General features: G+C 52.1%; 2 annotated features.

Annotated features, from left to right (window-relative positions):
• Positions 3,174 to 4,029: an enhancer, noted in NCBI's record as "H3K27ac-H3K4me1 hESC enhancer chr17:75766103-75766958 (GRCh37/hg19 assembly coordinates)". NCBI's record gives its function as "activates a minimal SCP1, AML or CMV promoter by ChIP-STARR-seq in naive H9 embryonic stem cells {active_cell/tissue: H9 hESC(naive)}" and the evidence as "EXISTENCE:reporter gene assay evidence [ECO:0000049][PMID:30033119]".
• Positions 4,377 to 4,877: an enhancer, noted in NCBI's record as "H3K4me1 hESC enhancer chr17:75765255-75765755 (GRCh37/hg19 assembly coordinates)". NCBI's record gives its function as "activates a minimal SCP1, AML or CMV promoter by ChIP-STARR-seq in primed H9 embryonic stem cells {active_cell/tissue: H9 hESC(primed)}" and the evidence as "EXISTENCE:reporter gene assay evidence [ECO:0000049][PMID:30033119]".

Below are 19,970 nucleotides of genomic sequence, written 5' to 3'. Positions count from 1 at the left end.
TGGACAATGTGGGGATTAGAGTGCTGACTCCACACAGCCGAAAATCTGGGTATAACTTTTGACTCCTCAAAATGTAAGTGCTAAGAGCCTCCTTTTGACCAGAAGCCTTACTGATAGCACCAAGAGCTAATACACATATTTTGGATGTTATATGTATGATATGCTGCAATCTTACAATAAAATAAGCTACAGAAAAGAAAATGGTATTAAGAAAATCATAAGGAGGCTGGGCGCGGTGGCTCACACCTGTAATGCCAGCACTTTGGGAGGCTGGGGGTGGGGGATCACCTGAGGTCAGGAGTTCAAGACCAGCTGGGGCAACATGGTGAAACCCCATCTCTACTAAAAATACAAAAATTAGCTGGGTGTGGTGGCGGGACCCTGTAATCCCAGCTATCTGGGAGACTGAGGCAGGAGAATTGCTTGAACCCGGGAGGCAGAGGTTGCAGTGAGCCAAGATCACGCCACTGTACTCCAGCCTGGGTGATAGAGTGAGACTCCATCACAAAAAAGAAAAGAAAAGAAAATCATAAGGAAGAGAAAGTCTAGTATTCATTAAGTGGAAGTGGATCATCATAAAGGTCTTCATTCTCCTTGTCTTCACATTGAGGAGACCGAGGAGGAGAAGGAGGAGGAAGAGGAGGAGGAGGAGGAGGAGTTGGTCTTGCTGTCTCAGGGGTGACAGAGGCAGAAAATCCCAGCATAAGGGAACTCTTGCAATTCAAACTCTAATTGTTCGACTCAGCTGCATAATCACTGCTGCTTTATCAGATCTGGAAACTGAAGGTCTGCAAGGGAGGGTGGACCCGCCCAAGATCACTCAGCACATCAGTGGCCCAGAGGCAGGCTTTGAGATCTGTGCACCTGACTCCAGAATCTGACACCCAAACTGTGAGGCCAGAGGTGCCATTCACCCAGGTGAGGGGTGGAGGCTGGGTGAATCTCGGCCAGAAGAGGGCCTGAAGGGCAAGGCTCTAGCGAGGAGAAGCGCAGAGCTGGCCTTTGCTGGAGAGGGGTTGGGGAGAGTGGAGACTGGGAACCCGTAGCTGGGACTGGCTGGGGACAGCCCAGACTCTGGGTTGGGCAGGGGGATCAGGGCATCCTGGTGGGAAGAGGAAAAGGGAAGTGAGGGGGGCAGGGTGGTCCCTGGAGATGCAGCAAAATCCGATGTGGCCCCAGGTGGCAGGGCCCAGCCAGAGGGCTGCCTTCCAGGACGAGAGGTCTGAAGCAGTGGGCAGGACTCCAGTCTCCCACCCTACACAAGGCAGGGGGTGAGGATAGACACAGGGAGAGATAGGAGGAGATTCCATGGGTGGAAGGAGACTGAGTCACATGGGATAAGGGGAGAGGGATCTGAGATTCCAGCAGGCTCAGACACAGCGGCTGACCAAGCCCTGCAAACGCGGGCTAGGAGGGGCCGGGCTGCTGTGGGCGGGTTGAGGGCAGACAGCGGCCTCATCTGGAGGGCCTGGGAACAGGCAGATGGGGGCAGGAAGGGGAATGCCTTCAGTCGCCTGGTAGAACAAAGCCCTGGGGGACCTTGGACAGGCCTGGGATGGGCAGGTGGCTTGCAACCCAGGGAATAACGTTCTCCAAGAACTCAGCAGTCTGGGATCAGAGTTAGGTCCAGGGACAGGAAAGGAACCAGCATGTGCTGGGTGGCTCCTAGCACCCGCACATTTTATACACATGACCTTATTTAAAACTACATGACATGTGACATTTCATTGCCACAGCAGCCTTGGATGGAAGAGCTCATTATTCCCTTTCCTTGAGGTAGGACCTGGAGGCTCAGAGAGGTTATGTGACTTGCCTGAGGTCACACAGGAGCCAGGACTGGAGCAGGAGCCTGTCTGCCCTCCCTTTGCCCTTGAGGCCCTGAGGCTGGGTTGGGATTAGCCTGTAACGAGCCTGTGAGCCTGCGAGGAGAATGATGTTTGCAGGGAGGGAAGGCCCTGAATCCTGGGGATTGGGGCATGTTGGGTGGGGCTGCCCAGGTTGGAGCTCCCCTGGAAGATGCCCGTCCCACCCCATTCTCGCTCCTAGACCCATTCCATTCTGGGGTTGTCTTGTGCCCAAGATCTCACTGCAAGGAAGAGGCAGAGGTGGGACCAGGACCCACATCGCCAGACCCCAGGGTCACCTTGGGGTTACCTGCTCCAGCCCTCAGGCATCCTGAGTGAGAGACCACGTGCAAAGAAGAAGGAGCCTCAGATATGAGGGCCAGCACTTGAGGTGGGTCCAGGGAGGCGCAGGCTGTGTTCTGCCGTGTCAGCCCTGTCAGCCCCAAGGCCGAGGCCGTCTGTCTCCCCAGGCCCCTGAGAGGGCCCCTGAGAGGGTGCCCGGTCCTGTCCCCAGCTCAGCAGACATCTCTATCTCCCTGTGCCCTGTTAGGGTCCCCTTTAGCCTCAGGAGAAACTCCTGACCCCTTGACCTTGGCTTGCCCCGGAGTCCAGCCGTCTTTCTCCATCTCTTGACTCCATTTGAGGCCCCCTACAAGCACCCGGCATGTGCCAGGCTCTGTGCCGAGAGAAGCCCTCGCAACAGACCTGGGAGTCTGGGACCCTGTTTTGCAATGAGGAACCCCAGGCTGGGGAGATCGGGGAACCTTCTGTCAGTCATACAGCTGCTAAGGGGTGCAGCCGGGGCTCAGCTCGCATCTCACCAGGGCATCATTCCACCTTCACTCGTCCCAGCCAGAACCGACTTGCACTCAGTGCCTCCACAGGGCACGTGATGGAGGTTTGGGTCCCGCTGTGGTGGGCCGGGCTCCCTTCCTGACATCAGAGGCGTCAGATGCCGGGAGCCTCCACACAGGGGAAGACCCCAGCCTCTGCCTTGCTCAGGGCTCACCCTGTCTTAAGTGGCTACAAGAGATACCATTTCCCGCCACGGAATCTAGCTCCATCCAACTGTCCCTGCAAACAGCCCAGCAACTCAGCCCCTCCACACACACAGGGAAATCACCAGGGAAGGCAGTGAGCAGGGATTTCTTTCTTTTTTTTTTTTTCCTGTCCTGGGGTTAAACATCCCAGTTTGAGGTAAAACAAATTCCTTGCTGAAGCTCATCACCTCCAGCTGGGCCTTGGGAAGGCCCATTTCATCTGATCATTTAGCACTGAGTCATGCTGACGAGGTGCCTGGGCTGAGCCGTCCCACGCTTGCTGAAGGCTGGTCTCAGGGGATGGAGCCTGGCAGGCTGGGGCAGGCTCTAGAGGGTCGGCTGCAGCCGGGGGTGGGCTGGGGGAAGCCCTCCCTCCCTGCGTCATCAGATGACGCAGTGGGGGTGCTGTCCTCAGTCCTTCGGGGTCTGCGTCAGAGGTGAGAAGAAATTCTCCCTGGGCCTCTGCCTGGGGCCCACAGTGAGTAGGCGAGGTGAGAATCAGACCAGGAGAGGCCACCATGGGCTTGAGAATCCTGGGGCTGGGAAGACTGCTGCCCTGACCTCAGACAGGAGGAGGCGTCCAGCCCTCCCTCGGAGAAGTGGGCGCCCAGGGATCCACTCATCCAGGTTCACGGTGATCCTGCCAACCTGGGCATCATCCCGCCCAACGCACCCAGCAGGCCCATTGCCCCCAGCACCGCATCCAGCCCCCCCTGCTGCAGTCTCCACCTGCATCACCAAGTCAGCTGTCAGTCAGGGACTGCTTGGCTCTAGGGATTCCTCAGTTCCAGAACATGGGGAAAGGAAAGGAGAGGAGGAGAAGGGACAGAGGGAGGGAGGTAAGGATGAGAGAGAAGACGGGAGAGAGAGAAAGAGAGGGAGTGTGAAAGAGGAAGAGAGGAAGACAGGGGAGGGAGAGAGAGAGAGGGCACACGTTTCCTGCATGGGCGACATGACCTCTTACTAGGGTGTTATAATTTGAAGAGACTGGAAAGACTCCACCTTAATAGGTCCCTGCCACAGAGATTCAGCCTGCCCAAAATTGCCAATTCTTTATTCCTTTGGGCAAGCCCACTGAGACCCAGCTTAAAATGTAAGCGTGAGATCTGAGAAGGGCATTTGTTCACTAGCACCCGTTAATTCGGCAGCCCTGGTCACTCGGCTGAGGCTCAGAAGGGCTGGGGACGCTCTCAGGGAAGCTGTGGCAGGAGGCAGGCTGGCGTTAGTCGTGGAACCTGTTTTGGTGACACCTATTGACCTAACGGCTGCTGTCTTCCAGGGAATGCGTCTGGGAAACACTGGCCCAGTAAGTGGTCAAGACTTCATGAACCGCAGCTATCACTGCCTCAGAGCACCCTACGGAGAAGCAGTGGGTGAGAAAGAGTCCAGTGCACCCTATGGAGAAGCAGTGAGTGAGAAAGAGTCCAGCACGCCCATCTCCGCGTTTTGTTTTTCTGGAGATCCCTTCCCATCCGCTGCTGTGGGTTTGCAGGTCTCAGTCCTCCTGTCCTCCAAGTCTCAGGCCATGCTCCCAGCTCCGCAAAGATCCCCTGATTTCCTCCCTGTCCTTGCTGAAGATCAACTCTTCAGCCACCGAGCAGATGCCCACAGCTGTGGTGTGTGCCTCCCCTCCCCGGGCCCATGGTATAGACAGGTCCCGTCCACTTCTAGTTACTCCCAAGCTGGCCTTCCCACCACACACCGCTGGCATCTGTACCACTGGGTCCCTGTTGCATGAGCTCATAGTATGCGCCAGGCATCCTGCCAAGCACTTCAAGTCACCTGCTCGTTTAATTCTCACGACAGCCTTCTGAAGGGGATGTGCTATCACCCCATTTTACAGATGAGGAAACAGCTCCCACCATTCTTCTGTGAAGACACCAGCTTTGGGATCTTCCCTTAGGAATGGCTCCCTGTGCCATGGACCCACTCCCACCTGAGCTGTGACCTTGGTCAGCACCCCCAGCCCTGCTGCCCCTGGCTGGGGCCAGCCTGGACTTGAGTGGGGATGTCTGGGGCTCCCAGGTGGTTTTGTCCCTGCAGGTGGCCTCTGGCCAGCCCTCTGGCCCTTTCACTTGCAGGCAAAGGTTTTTGCTGTTTGCTTCTTGTTCCTCTGGTGAAGGACCCTGCTTTTCCTTCCAAGTTTTCTATTTCTTCTGCTTGCGGCTCAGCAGAAAAGAGAATAAAACTTCAGAGTAACATAAAAGCTTGCTGGTTTGGTGGTGTGCTGCAGGTGTCCTGCACAGGTGTGTGACCTCACCTTGACAGCTGGAAATGAGCCCCAGGGGACCGTTTACACCTGGGAATCGGCACACGCTCCAAATCAGGGCCGTTTCACTGGAGACCTGGCCATGGAACCTTCACCAGTGCATACTGCGGGGCCCTGTAGAGGTTCCTCTCCAGTTAGAGGGGACAGTCCTGCCCAGGAGCCCTTGGCTGCTAGCTTCTCCTGGCTCTCCTGCCTCTGCCCAGAGCTCAGGCTGCCACACCCCCCTACAGTTAGTGTGTAGCTGGTTACACAGTCTGTACTGCTCTCAGTCGGCTTCTTGAGATTATTCAACTCCTGGCCAACACCAGAACTTATTTTTTAAATAAATACTTGCAAACTGAAACCAAGCAAGGTCCCTACACGGAGCCACGTAGTGTGATTTCTCTACACAGTGAACAGGAGGCAGATGCCGGTCAGCATCACCACTTACAAAATCCGGCCCTGCATTGCTCTGATCTGTCTCTCTCCCCCAGGCCAGCCTTCCAGGGTTCCTGGATGTGTGAGTGTGTATGGGAGGAGGGTGGGATCCCAATGTGTTCGAGGACCTTCGGAACTCCTCACGCTTGAGTTAAGTACTCTGCAAGTCAGAGCCAGCGGTGCCGAGCAATGCTGCCGACTCTTCATTGACATAGTTGCATTAAAGATTCAGGATATAAATTTGAACAGGGATTAACCATTCCTAGAACAAACAGCCCTGGCTGGCACTCCTCCCTGCACACACAGCCCACTGCATTATCCAAGTGCAAACAGGTATGGAGCCTGCCATTTTCTCTCTTCTCGCTCTATCTCCCTCCTCCAGGCAAACAGCGGTCCAAGAACAGAACCCAGAGGTGGGGGATCTCCAGCTTGAGTTGCAGGGAAGGCAGCTGGCGATGGTTTATTTTACGTGTCAGTTTGGCCTGGCTGAGGAGTGCCCAGCAGGGAAAGCATGCCTTTCCGGGTGCGTCTGTGAGGGTGGTCAGTGGGCTGGAGGAAGCAGTTCGGCCCCCACCAGTGTGGATGGGCATCATCCAATCTGCTGCGGGCCCGGATGGAACAAAAAGGAAATGGAAGGGCGGACTCTCTCTCTCTGTCCCTGAGATGGGACATCGATTTTTTCCCTGACCTTGGACATCGGCACTTTTGGTTCTTGGGCCTTTGGACTCCAGGACTTACACCAGTGCCACCATTGGTTCTTGGGCCTTTGGACCTGGACTAAGTCACACCACTGGCTTTCCTGGTTCTGGGGCTTGCAGATGGCAGATCATGGAACTCTTGGCCTCCATAATTGCATGAGCCAATTTCCATAAGAAGTCTATCTATCTATCTATCTATCTATCTATCTATCTATCTATCTAATCTATCATCTGCCTGTCTGCCTGCCTGTCTGCCTATCTATCCCCTTGTCTGTCTATCTGCCTATCATCTATCTATCATCTATCTGTGTGTCTATCTCTCTATCTGCCTATCTATTATCATCTATCTGTCTATCTATCTATGTATCTATCATTTACCTGCCTGTCTGTCTGCCTATATGGCTGTCTGTCTGTCTACCATCTATCTATCTACTTGTCTATCTGCCTTTCTATTATCTATCTACATCTATCTATCTATCTATCTATCCATCCATCCATCTACTTATCTATTATCTGTCTGCCTATCTCTATCTGCCTATCTATTATCTATCTATCTATATCTATTACCTATCTATCTATATCTAATCTATCTCTCTATCTATCTATCTATCTATCTATCATCTATCTATCTATTCATCCATCTATCCTATTGGTTCTGTTTCTCTGGAGAACCCTGACTAATACAGAGCCCAAGTGTTGGGGGAACAACAGGGGATCCTGATACTCCTTCTGGAGTAGGCAGTGGCTGGGTGAAGCCCTTGTCATGTTTCCCTTTTGTTCCTTAAACTTGAGAGAGGCACAACTCGGCCCCATATAACCCTTGACTCAACAACAGCAGATTTTGAAAGCTGAGAACCGGCCAGAGATGAGCCTCAGTTGCCCCCACTGGCCTCTTTCCTTTAGACAGATGAGTCCAAGAGATGACAGACTGGCCTGGGGGATCCTGGGAAATAAAGATGAATGAGAGGGACGAAAGAGAGACAATCATGTTGGCTCCATCCTGTGGAAGACCAGGAAGAGTGCTCCTAACCAAGGACATTCAAGTGCACTTTGGGGGAGTCAGGATCCTCCACGAACAGAAGTGTGGCACATTCACCCACGTTCAGGGGCCTGGCAGGTACAGGTGGGTGGGCCTGGGCTCACCTGGAGAATGCCTTCATGCAGCAGGGCAGCAACTACTCACTCTGGGGACTGCTGCCACATGGAAGAGGGAGACTGCAGAGTACCCGGTTTCTCTAGAGGAGCCAGACATAGAGATTTTTATGTGAAAGCTTGATTTTTAAATGTTAGAATCCAAATTTTAAAATCAAAAAGCATGATATAGGCCAAACAAAACTGTTGTGTGCTGGCTTCTCCTTCCTTACCCAGGTACTTTGCAAACTTTGCTCTAAATCTTTTTTTTTTTTTTTTTTTTTTTTTGAGACGGAGTCTCGCTCTGTCGCCCAGGCTGGAGTGCAGTGGCGGGATCTCGGCTCACTGCAAGCTCCGCCTCCCGGGTTCACGCCATTCTCCTGCCTCAGCCTCCCAAGTAGCTGGGACTACAGGCGCCTGCCACTACGCCTGGCTAATTTTTTGTATTTTTAGTAGAGACGGGGTTTCACCGTTTTAGCCGGGATGGTCTCAATCTCCTGACCTCGTGATCCGCCCGCCTCGGCCTCCCAAAGTGCTGGGATTACAGGCGTGAGCCACCGCGCCCGGCCTGCTCTAAATCTTGAGCAACTGGTGGGAGAGAAGGGGTGGGGAACCCTGCTCCAGGCTTTCTGCTTTCAGTTTCTCGAGACATGTTTCTTCCTGGAGCTGCTGCCATCCAGGGTAATTTGATTGTGCTTTTCTCTTGCTGCCTTTGATCCTCTGAGGTTGCCAGGCATAGTTACTATTTTATTTGCAGGCTCTGATGATGGGAGAATGATTCTGAAAGCTGCAGCCTGAAGACAGAAACTCCCTCTGGGCTGTTGTCAAGTCAATTTCCATGGTCTCCAGGGCTGAAGTGGGAAACACTGCATGGAAACAGAGATGCTGTTGAGGGAGAGGTCCCCACATGTTCTCAGGGCCTCCTTGGGCTGGAATTATCTGTTCCCATTTGCTGACACTAAGCTGCCAAAGCCAGGAATTAGCTGTCTCAAGTGGGTGCTGTCACCCACCCATCCAGCCACTCATGTATCCACCCACCCACCCATCTATCCATCCATTTATCCATCCATCATCTAACTTCCCATTTGCATATCCATCCATCCATCCATCCATCCATCCATCCATCCATCCTTCCTTCCTTCCTTCCATCCATCCATCTATCCATCCATCCATCCATTCATCCACCCATCCACCTACCCATCCAACTTCCCATCTACTCATCCATCCATGCACCCATCCATCTAAGTTCCCATCTGCACATCCCTCCATCCGCCCATCTGCACATTCATCCATCCATGCATACATGCATGCCACAAATATTTACTGGGTATTGGTCATGTGTTAGGGCTGTGCTGGGTGCTGGGCTAATAATGATGAGTGGACAATAGTCTTTGCCCTCACAGAGATTGCATTCTTGCTCCCATCACTCTAATGCATACAGCCAGCTTGCAGCAAGTGGGAGGAGGCTGAGGAATCCTGTCCACCTTTTGGGATGGCAGACCGTGGAGAAGGCTTCACCAGAGCAAGTGGTACATATGCTGGGTTCTTATGTTTTTGGTCAGAGAGAGAAGGAGGGAACGGCATTTCGGGAGAGGGCAATAGCATGAGAGAGAGGGAGGGACCCTCCCCCAGGCCCACTGCAGACTCTAGGTGAGGAAGTAAGTGGGGACACAGAAGGGTGTCTTTCCTGCTCCTCTGGGCGTGACACTGACAGGGCCAGGTGTGTCTCGTCTTTGATGCAGAAAATGTCCCTGTAGGTGGCAAGCTGAACTGGCAATGGAAGAAAGCAAACTCCAGCAATGGATGGACAATGGGAAGATGAGCTCCCTCAGAGCAGGTTATAAAAAAGGTTATATAATGAGTATTGCTGGATGGAGATTCCCCCTTTCAACCTGAGCTGAAGCTTTTCACTCCTTTCAGCCAATGCCCAAGACAATTACTTGCTCGCACAACACTTTGAGGTAAATACATCCTATAGATGAGAACACAGATGCTCAGAGAGGTTTAGCGACTGGTCCAAAACCACACAGGCCTGTCCACCCTCAAGCCCATAGTCTTTCTCTAATACTATTGGGCCTCGCTAGGGCATCGTTGTCTAGGACAAACTCAGAGGAGGTCCGGGTTTCAGGCTCAGGATGGCCCTTCAGAATGAATAGCAAGCATTCTCTGTCCCCAAGTGGGGCTATGTGCTCGCTCACTGGGGTAGAATCCTCAGCACATCCTATCGTTTCTCTTGGATCTTCCCAGGTCTGTGTGCACAGACACCTGCAGACTTTGGAAATCCACACCTCTCCTTAAATGCACACTTCTCTGATTGCAGTGCGGGAGATTGGCACCTTCTGTCCCCACAACCCCTCCAGCACCCCCAGCTCCTGCCCTACCCCAACCTCTCCAGGCATGGGTTCTTGGAACAGAGTTAGAAAACCATGGGGCTTAGCTAACCTCACAGGCCCCTCCAGCATTCTAAGATCTGTTCTTCATTCACTTGTTTGACCATTTCACCTGCCTTGTGCCAGATGCTGAGCCAGGAGCCACGAGGGGCAGCCCCCAGGCACTGGGTGCTTACAGTCTTGCGGACTTCTTACACCACTGGATCACTGCAAGGCTCTGATCTGTTTTTCCTTTTTGCTGACAGGCTCCCTTTGCATGTAATTATTTTGCTGGGCTGGTGTTAATGACATGTCCACTCCACTTAGTCTGGTCATCAGTATCTCTGGGCATGCCTGGGTTCCTGGTTGCTGTGGTTGTTTCGTTCCTCTGAAGGTCTCTCCATCATCAGCAAACCTGTTCTCTGCTCATTATTGATGGTGCCTGAGCCCTGCTCACCTGGGCTTACCGCGGGGCTCCTGGCAGATCCAATTTCCAAGCCCAAGAGACTGGGGATGCTTCCATGTAAAAGAGAAGAGGGTGGGGAGAGGGAGGTGGCTGGCTGATTGTTTACAAATTGCTCTGTCTCTCTCCACTTTCTTTTCTGTACTGTCCTCAAAGCCATGGAAGACGGCACTCTGTCCTGTCCGTGGTCAGCAGAGAGGATGCAATGAGCCAAAGTTGAAGAATTGCAGGGAGAAGGAGGTACTGAGCCATACCCCAACATTCTCCCTCTGCAGACTTTTCTGGAAAAGGTAGAAACTAGGTCTTCAGGTTTGCTGTTTCCTGGAGGCGAGCTGTGGGGTTGGGGGTGGCTGTTGCAATTCTCCATGCACAAGAATTCCCTGGACTGGAGTTTTATTCCCTGTTCCCTGTTGTCTTAACTTATGACCTTGACCACGTGTCTAGGCCTCACTTTACTTGCCTATAAAATGGAAGAATTTGACTAGATCAGGGGTCAATGAGCTTGTTCTGTAGAGTAAGATAATAAATACTTCAGCCAGGAAATCTCTGTGGCAACTTCTCGCCTCTGCTGCTTCACAGCAAACCAGCTAGAGACAATCTGCACATGAATGGGTGTGGCTGTGTTCCAAAAAATCTTTATTTACAAAAGCAAATGATGGGCCGGATTGCTGTGGTTGTTCATTTGCGGTGGAACTCTTTCACCCGATCAAATCTTGCTTGAGACTCCACTATATAGAATAGATAAAAACAAAGCTTCTCCGATTGCAGTAGGAGAGATTGGCACCTTCTCTCCCCACAACCCCTCCAGCACCCCCAGCTCCTGCCCTGCCCCCATCCCCTCCCGGCATGGGTTCTTGGAACACAGTTAGGAAACATGGGGCTTAGCTAATCTCACAGGCCCCTCCAGCATTCTAGGACCTGTTCATTCACTTGTTTGACCATTTCACCTGCCTTGTGCCAGTTGCTGAGCCAGGAGCCACAAGGGGCAGTCCTCAGGCACTGGGTGCTTACAGTCTCGTAGACTTCTTATACCATTCGATTTTTTGAAAACCATTTATATGTTACTCGAAGGGGTTTATCTTAAATAAACTTGTTAAAATAGTACAAACACCATATAATCTCAATTTTGATGTTAAAAACTCGTATCCAGTACTAGCTATATAATTTTGGGGGCCAAGTGCAAAATGAAAATGTAGGTTCCCTTGTTCAAAAGTGATTAAGAATTTGAGGAGCTGAGCACAGTGATGTGTTCCTGTAGTCCCGGCTCCAGCTACTCAGGAGGCTGAGGCTGGAGTCCAGGAGTTTGAGGAGTCCAGCCTGGGCAACATCGTGAGACCCCATTTCTAACATAAAATAAAATAAAATGGAAAATTTCAAGATGGTGATAGCAGAACATTAAACCCAGCTCGGGGCGCCTCTGAGCACAGAGCCCAGCATTGCCCAGGTCCACGTGCATGAAGCTGGCCCTGCATTTTTCTATAAAGATGTTTCCCAAAGTGTTAAGGGACACACTTCTGGGTGGGATAAGAGGGATTTACTTTAAAAAAAAATTTTTTTTTTTGAGATGGAGTCTCGCTCTGTCACCCAGGCTGGAGTGCAGTGGTGCGATCTCGGCTCCCTGCAACCTCCGCCTCCCAAGTTCAAGCTATTCTCCTGCCTCAGCCTCCCGAGGAGCTGGGACTACAGGTGTGCGACACCATGCCTGGCCAATTTTTGTATTTTTAGTAGAGACAGAGTTTCACCATGTTGGCCAGGCTGGTCCCAACCTCGTGACCTCGGGTGATCCACCCGCCTCGGCCTCCCAAAATGTTGGGATTACAGATGAGAGCCACCACACTCAGCTGGGATTTACATTTTCTTCTTCATGTTTTCTGTAAGTTCTAATTTCTCCACATTACATGGATTGTTCTCATTGCAGAAGAAAAGGATTATCAATGTTTTCTCCCATACCAACAGAAACCATAGTGCAGATGCATCTGAGGCTGCGTCGGGGGGCTGGTGTGGGCAGGGCGAGCCACCTTCCCTCTGGGGTTTACCCATGGGGGACTCACTTTTTTAGACTCATGTCCAAGCAGAATAAAAACTCTGTTCTCCTCATTCTTCTTAGTAGAGCAGAAGCCAGGCTGGTGTCCTCATTTCTAAAAATGAAGGGAGAATAAAGAGAACTGGGCAGAGAGACTCATAAGGCCCAGATCGAGGCTGGGCCCGAAAGCAGGGCTCTGTGTCCTCGTGCCCCTGGCCCAAAGGGGACTCCATAATCACCCCCAGGCCCATGCAGGGCTCTGTCCTCATCGGGAGGGCTCATTTGGAAGGAAGTTTGGGAGGAAGCAGGGTGTACTCACCCACACGCCCATGGAACGGCGGTTGAGGGAGATGGGGGCTTGTGAGGGACATGCGCCTCACCTCTGCAGGTCTCAGCAAAAGATTACCACGGGTTCCCCAGGAAACGTCTCTGGACACATTACGCTATATAAATGTAGATCCAGGAAGCATGTTCTAATACACAGATGGGTCATTGGGAGGAATTAGGGATGCTTAGGGATGGAGCCCTAACCTTTTAAGGAAAATGTCATGTGTTCCCATACAGCACCCTGGGGCGTGATAGGAAGAAACAGGATATTCGGGATGTGCAGATTTGTCACGGTTTTTGACCAGTTTGAATATCCTCTGTGGCCTCCACCTTGATCCCCGTCCCCTACTTGGGGCTCCCCAGTCCCTACCCCACCCCCAGACAGCACCCCACCTCCCCGCTAGGCTCCCCAGACCTGACCCAGGGCCGTCTCCTCCATGGGTGCCGCCAGCTTCTTGGTGGATCCTGTACTCTCCATGCAGCCACTTCACGATGCCCCCACATCACTGCCACCCTTCTCTGGCACGCTGGAACACGTGCTCCTCCTGTGTGGGGTTTCCCTTGAGGTTCTGGCCACGAAGGATCCCCTCTTCTCCATTAATTGAGGCGCTGTGGTGAGTTGTTCCAATACCAGGGACCATTAGGGTGTCTAGGTGTCTCCAGACGTCTGGCCGAGGGGGGAGTGCAGTGATGGGAACACATGAGATGATAATCCACAAAATTTGACACCTGGAAGGGGTTTGAGGGACCAACTCATCCCTTTTTTTCTTATATGAAGGTAAAATTTACATAAAATAAAATGAACCATTTTAAAAGTCAACAATTTGGTGGCATTGAACACAGTCACGGTGCTGTTGAACGCCGTCACGGTGCTGTGACAGTCACAGTGTTGTTGAATGCAGTCAAGGTGCTGTTGAATGCCGTCACGGTGCTGTGACAGTCACAGTGTTGTTGAATGCAGTCAAGGTGCTGTTGAATGCCGTCACGGTGCTGTGACAGTCACAGTGTTGTTGAATGCAGTCAAGGTGCTGTTGAATGCCGTCACGGTGCTGTGACAGTCACAGTGTTGTTGAATGCAGTCAAGGTGCTGTTGAACGCCGTCATGGTGCTGTGACAGTCACAGTGTTGTTGAATGCAGTCACGGTGTCGTTGAATGCCGTCACGGTGCTGTGACAGTCACAGTGTTGTTGAATGCAGTCAAGGTGCTGTTGAATGCCGTCACGGTGCTGTGACAGTCACAGTGTTGTTGAATGCAGTCAAGGTGCTGTTGAACGCCGTCACGGTGCTGTGACAGTCACAGTGTTGTTGAATGCAGTCAAGGTGCTGTTGAATGCCGTCACGGTGCTGTGACAGTCACAGTGTTGTTGAATGCAGTCAAGGTGCTGTTGAATGCCGTCATGGTGCTGTGACAGTCACAGTGTTGTTGAATGCCATCATGGTGCTGTGACAGTCACAGTGTTGTTGAATGCCATCATGGTGCTGTGACAGTCACAGTGTTGTTGAATGCAGTCAAGGTGCTGTTGAATGCCGTCATGGTGCTGTGACAGTCACAGTGTTGTTGAATGCAGTCAAGGTGCTGTTGAATGCCGTCACGGTGCTGTGACAGTCACAGTGTTGTTGAATGCCGTCATGGTGCTGTGACAGTCACAGTGTTGTTGAATGCAGTCAAGGTGCTGTTGAATGCCGTCACGGTGCTGTGACAGTCACAGTGTTGTTGAATGCCGTCATGGTGCTGTGACAGTCACAGTGTTGTTGAATGCAGTCAAGGTGCTGTTGAATGCCGTCATGGTGCTGTGACAGTCACAGTGTTGTTGAATGCCGTCATGGTGCTGTGACAGTCACAGTGTTGTTGAATGCAGTCAAGGTGCTGTTGAAAGCCGTCACGGTGCTGTGACAGTCACAGTGTTGTTGAATGCAGTCAAGGTGCTGTTGAATGCCGTCATGGTGCTGTGACAGTCACAGTGTTGTTGAATGCAGTCAAGGTGCTGTTGAATGCCGTCACGGTGCTGTGACAGTCACAGTGTTGTTGAATGCCGTCATGGTGCTGTGACAGTCACAGTGTTGTTGAATGCAGTCAAGGTGCTGTTGAACGCCGTCACGGTGCTGTGACAGTCACAGTGTTGTTGAATGCAGTCAAGGTGCTGTTGAACGCCGTCACGGTGCTGTGACAGTCACAGTGTTGTTGAATGCAGTCACGGTGTCGTTGAACGCCGTCACGGTGCTGTGACAGTCACAGTGTTGTTGAATGCAGTCAAGGTGCTGTTGAATGCCGTCACGGTGCTGTGACAGTCACAGTGTTGTTGAATGCAGTCAAGGTGCTGTTGAATGCCGTCATGGTGCTGTGACAGTCACAGTGTTGTTGGCGAGTGATATTTCTTGTATTCGCATGGTGGAACTATTATGAAATGAGGGCTACATCTCTTTCCCACCATGGGTTCAGAGATGTCATGTCGTTGGTTTGAAATTGGCTGCAATATGGCTGGGCACAGTGGCTCACGCCTGTTATCCCAGCACTTTGGGAGGCTGAGGCGAGCAGATCACGAGGTCAGGAGATTGAGACCATCCTAGCTAACACAGTGAAACCCCGTGTCTACTAAAAATACAAAAAATTAGCCTGGCGTGGTGGTGGGCGCCTGTAGTCCCAGCTACTCGGGAGGCTGAGGCAGGACAATGGTGTGAACGTGGGAGACGGAACTTGCAGTGAGCCGAGATCGTGCCACTGCACTCCAGCCTGGGAGACAGAGCGAGAGTCCATCTCAAAAAAAAAAAAAAAGAGAAGTTTATAAACTTCAGTTATGTATTCTGGCCAATTAATGGGAGGGAGACAAAGAGAAAAGCTGAAATAGAGGAGAAAAAGGAAGGGAAAGGAGGAAGCAGAGAAAGAATGAGAGATGAGAGTGAGGGAGAACTTTGAAGAAGGCCAGAGAAAGAAAACAATAGGCCGGGTTCAGTGGCTCACACCTGTAATCCCAGCACTTTGAGAGGCTGAGGCGAGCGGATCACCTGAGGTCAGGAGTTCAAGACCAGCCTGGCCAAAATGGCAAAACCGCATCTCTACTAAAAATACAAAAATCAGCTGGGCGTGGTTGTGGGCCCCTGTAATCCCAGCTACTTGGGAGGCTGAAGCAGGAGAATCGCTTGAACCCAGGAGGTGGAGGCTGCAGTGAGCTGAGATTGCACCATTGTACTCCAGCCTGGGCGAAAAGAACGAAACTCCATCTCAAAAAAAAAGGACCAAGCTGCTTCCTTTGGTTGCCTCCATCCTGTTGGTGGGTCCAGCCACCTGAGCGTTGGAACCCCAGCACTGAGGGCAGCATGAAAAGGTGAGGTGCTGACCTTGTCCTTCCCCACCCGAGCCCAGAGCCTGGGAGAAAGGAGTATGTTGCAGCGGGGGTCTTCCTGTTGTGGAGGGTGCCGTGCGGGAAGTGGGGTGACAGTAGCAGTTTCCAGTGTTGGTGTTTGTCAGCATTTCCAAGAAGGGCAGAGGAAGGCCAGGCTGGGCTTACTGATGTCCCTACTTCCTGGTCCCCAGGGGGAGCCCCTGAAATTTATCCCCAGTCACCTGCTCTTCACGATCCTGCTCTTGATGGGAGAGACAGAACACCAGTCTTCCTCTGGAGAGACGTTTCTCCAGACACTCAAGGGCCCATATACATGACAATTACTGCTTAAAAATGTATCTGTTTGCTACATGCCTGCAAGTGGGTGTAAATCATACAGCGGCCATAAAACCAGCCATAACCCACGCATGGCCGGGACCCCAGGAGCTCCTGCTACAGGCTGGGCGGCTTTATCTCAGCGGCTCAGAGGGAGAAGCCCTGCCTTTATGTTGGGAGGAACTAGAAGAGCCTAATTTTATTTATTTTTAATCAACCATTTCAGCATGTTCCCTCTAGTCAAAGGCAGAGCTGGAGTGCGACACAGTCACATCATTTATATTTAGCTTTTATTTACCCAGGGAAGTCTTGGGAGATGTAGTATCTCGTTTGTAGAGACACCCCAGTGGCAACATTCCATTACTCAGAGCCCTAAATGAGCTTTGCACAGACCCTGGGAGGGAGGGCAGGCGGACCTTCCACCGTCAGGAAGACTGAGCCTGCTGGGACCAGCTGCCTCCTGCCTTTGATGGCATTGGTTGGAGCCTTCAGCTTGGGCACTGGAAAAATACAAGGTAGACTCTTCCCTACAGCCTGCAGTTGGGAACCCTGTGTGTGCAGCTGGTCTGCCTTCCTGACAGGGTGGTCTTTGCTGCTCAGCCTCTCCTGGCCTCACCTGGCAGCCTGGTCCAGTCCACTACTCCTGTTTGCAGATGCCAAGAGGCTGGCTGCCCCTCCTTGGGTCAACTGCAGGACCTCTGTCCCCTACCACGTGGTTAACGCCTCCCACCCTGAGTGGGACTCCAGGATACCACTCTATCCTCACTCATCTTATTTTCTGGGGGAGGCGCAGGTTGATGGTTTCTGAGTCAGAGGCAGCAAGGCAGGGTGGGTGGTTTTTTTGTGATTCCTGCAAACTATAAACAGCCAGAAGCTTCTCCAGCCAATGTCCCTTGTCTCTCGCCTCTGTGGGCTCGGGAACACCCGAGCATGGTGGAATGGGGAGGGAGGAGGTGGGAGGGTTGAAATTCACTGGGGTCACGCGGAAATGAAGGGAGAAGTGGTTCATTTGAGCTCAAACGTCCTTCCCGTCCCTCTGTTTGGTAAAGTGAGGCCTGAGTGCCGGGCAAATGACCAGATCCAATATTCATTAGCGCTCCTGAGAGATGGATGGAGGCACCTCATTATGGGGTGCTTCACCTCCAACCCCCTCACCCACAGTGGATATTTACATAATAACCTGACCCCCGGGTTACTTTTCATTAACAAACACGTGTGAAAATGCAGAAGCCGCTGGCAATTTTGTATCATAAATACATATTGTTAACCCAGTGTAGACGGCTTACTTGCAGTTACTCAAAAAAGAGGGGGTCCCCTGTTCTTCATAGCCATTAGGTACCAGATGGAGGGGCCCCAGCAGAGTATGGTAGAGAGCTCTAGACTGTGCATTCAAGGTGGGTGGGGGGTGACATACCTCTTCATTTGAGTGCAGAGTTCAACATTCAATTAATGTCCTTGCAAGGGTTCTGGGTGTCCCTGCCTCACTCCCTTTGGAGGCCCTGAGGTCTGGGGAGCTAGGGACGGGGCATTTCAGGTTAACTTGTTAAGTGCTTGTGGCAGGGTCACCCTCCCTTCCCTGGCTGTGGGACGTGGAGAGAGAACCAGGGATGTGCACATTCAGTTCTGGGATGAATGCACCATGTTCCCTGAGTCACACGCTGAAGGGCCGTGGGGTCCCAGGCTGCCTTCTTGCTTTGGGTTGCCCTCTTCTTCTCTCTGGGGTTCTAGCCCATTTGTGCAGGGAGGGGGTTCTGGAGATGGGGGTCTCTGAGTGGTGTGGGGCGGTGCATGCTCTCTCTGACTGTCCTTCGTGCCAGGGACATTGTGTGTTCCTGGGGGGACACTGTGGTGTTCCCAGGAAGCAGGAAGGGTTCACCTCGGTGAAGCAGCCTGTGGCTCTGGTGGGGACAGGGGAGGGCTGAGCTAAGGAAGGGCTGGTGCCAAGGCCGGGGCATGCTGGGCTTCCCTCTGCCTTTCCAACCTCATAGCTCCTCTCCTGGAAAAGTGGAAATTCACCCGTGGGTCCCTGGGCAGCCTGCTACAGGCTCAGGGCTACAGTGTGGATGCCAGGCGACCCATAGGTTCTGCTGGAAAGACCCTCTCTGGCTCACAAGGTGCTCCCTGGTAGGCTGTACCTGAGAGCTGTCCTAGGCCATGGACAGCCAGAACCCCGATGTGTCATCCCCGACTCATTTCCTGGCTGTTGCTTTGAGTCCAGTGGCTCATCTCTGGAGTGACCCCGCTGACCACACTCACAGATTGACATCAAAGACCAGAGGTCAGTTCTCCATTTGCCATATGGAGAACAACTTGGCAGACCCGCTGCCTATGTGAGCTGATCTGGATTCTTTCCCTGTAGGCCAGCTCCACGGACCATTGGCTAGCATGGCTAACACAAACTAAGTGCCACTCATATGCCATGTGTATTAGTTACCTATTGCTGTGTAACAAATTACCCCAAAACTTAGTGGCTTAAAATAAGAAATGTTGGTTATCTCACAAAGTTTCTGAGGTCTTGGGAATCTGAGCATGGCTTTACTGGGTGGTTGTGGCTCAAAGTCTTTCATGAGGTTGCAGTGCAGCTGTCAGCCAGGGCCACTGCCTCTACAGGTTGAACAGGGGCAGAAGAATCCACATCTACAGTGGCTCCCTCACTTTGCCGTCGGTTGGGGGCCTTTGTTCATCGCCATGTGGCCCTCCCCATAGGGCTGCTTGAGTGTCCTCACAACATGGCAGCCGACTTTCCCTGAGCATGTGAAGAAGAACAAAAGGAAGAAGCCACCCAGCCTTTTATGACCTGGTTTTGCAAGTGGCGTTGTTATGTCTGCAATATTTCATTCATTAGAAGGGAGTCACTAAGTTCAGCCCACCTTCAAGAAGAGAAAAATTAAATTCCACCTCTTAAAGGGAGGAGAATCAAAGAATGTAAGAACATATTTAAAGACTACCACAGTAGGCGTAAGGTTAGGTGCTTAACATGTGTTGCCTCATTTAATCCTCAGGACAACTCCCATCTTACAGACGAGGAAACCAAAGCTCAGAATGGTTACAGGAGGTGTCCTTGTTCACACGGCTGCTTAATTGCAGTCAAGATTTGGAGTCAGATCATGTAGACCAGTGCTACTCAGCAGAACTTTCTACAGTGGCAGAATGGTTCTGGGTATGCTGTCCAGCGTGGTAGCCCCTGGCCACATGTGACCACTGAGCACTTGAAGTGTAGCTAGTCAATGTCGTCCCAGTCAAAGACCACCAGGAATGCACTTGCGGTTGAACAAGCTGAGTTATTATTGGCTGCAGTGAGGGAGAACACGTCCATGTGGAACTACAGGGTGTCACAGGGAGGGGGTGTCAGAGAGGACTTATTCTAGGATGTGGTCTATGGCTGACTTAGGGGAGGGTCTGAGGAGTCAGGAGCTCACTCCAGATTCAATGCCTTCAAAGGGCAAGGGCAAAATCACGTGCATCCTCGCTCTGTCTCATTTCATTGTGGTTTCAGAGCGGCCTTGTCTGAGTAGGGAGTGAACGGGAGAACAGGACTCCCGAGTGAGGCCCAGGCCAGCTTCCAGAGGCCAGGGCTGCCCTTATTTCTCCTTCTCACTAGTGAGACTGAGGCGCTGGGTTTTTAATTGATGAATTTGGATTCGAGTTATAAAGTAACTCAAATGGCTGGCGGCTACTTTATAAGACAGCTCGAGTGTGGATCTCACACACACGCCCCTAGCCACTGCACCAT

This window comes from Homo sapiens, chromosome 17 (assembly GCF_000001405.40).
Source record: "Homo sapiens chromosome 17, GRCh38.p14 Primary Assembly".
In the NCBI taxonomy this organism is placed as follows: Eukaryota; Metazoa; Chordata; class Mammalia; order Primates; family Hominidae; genus Homo; species Homo sapiens.
Note: the sequence above shows the minus strand (reverse complement) of the source record. Positions and strands in the feature narration are given on the sequence as shown.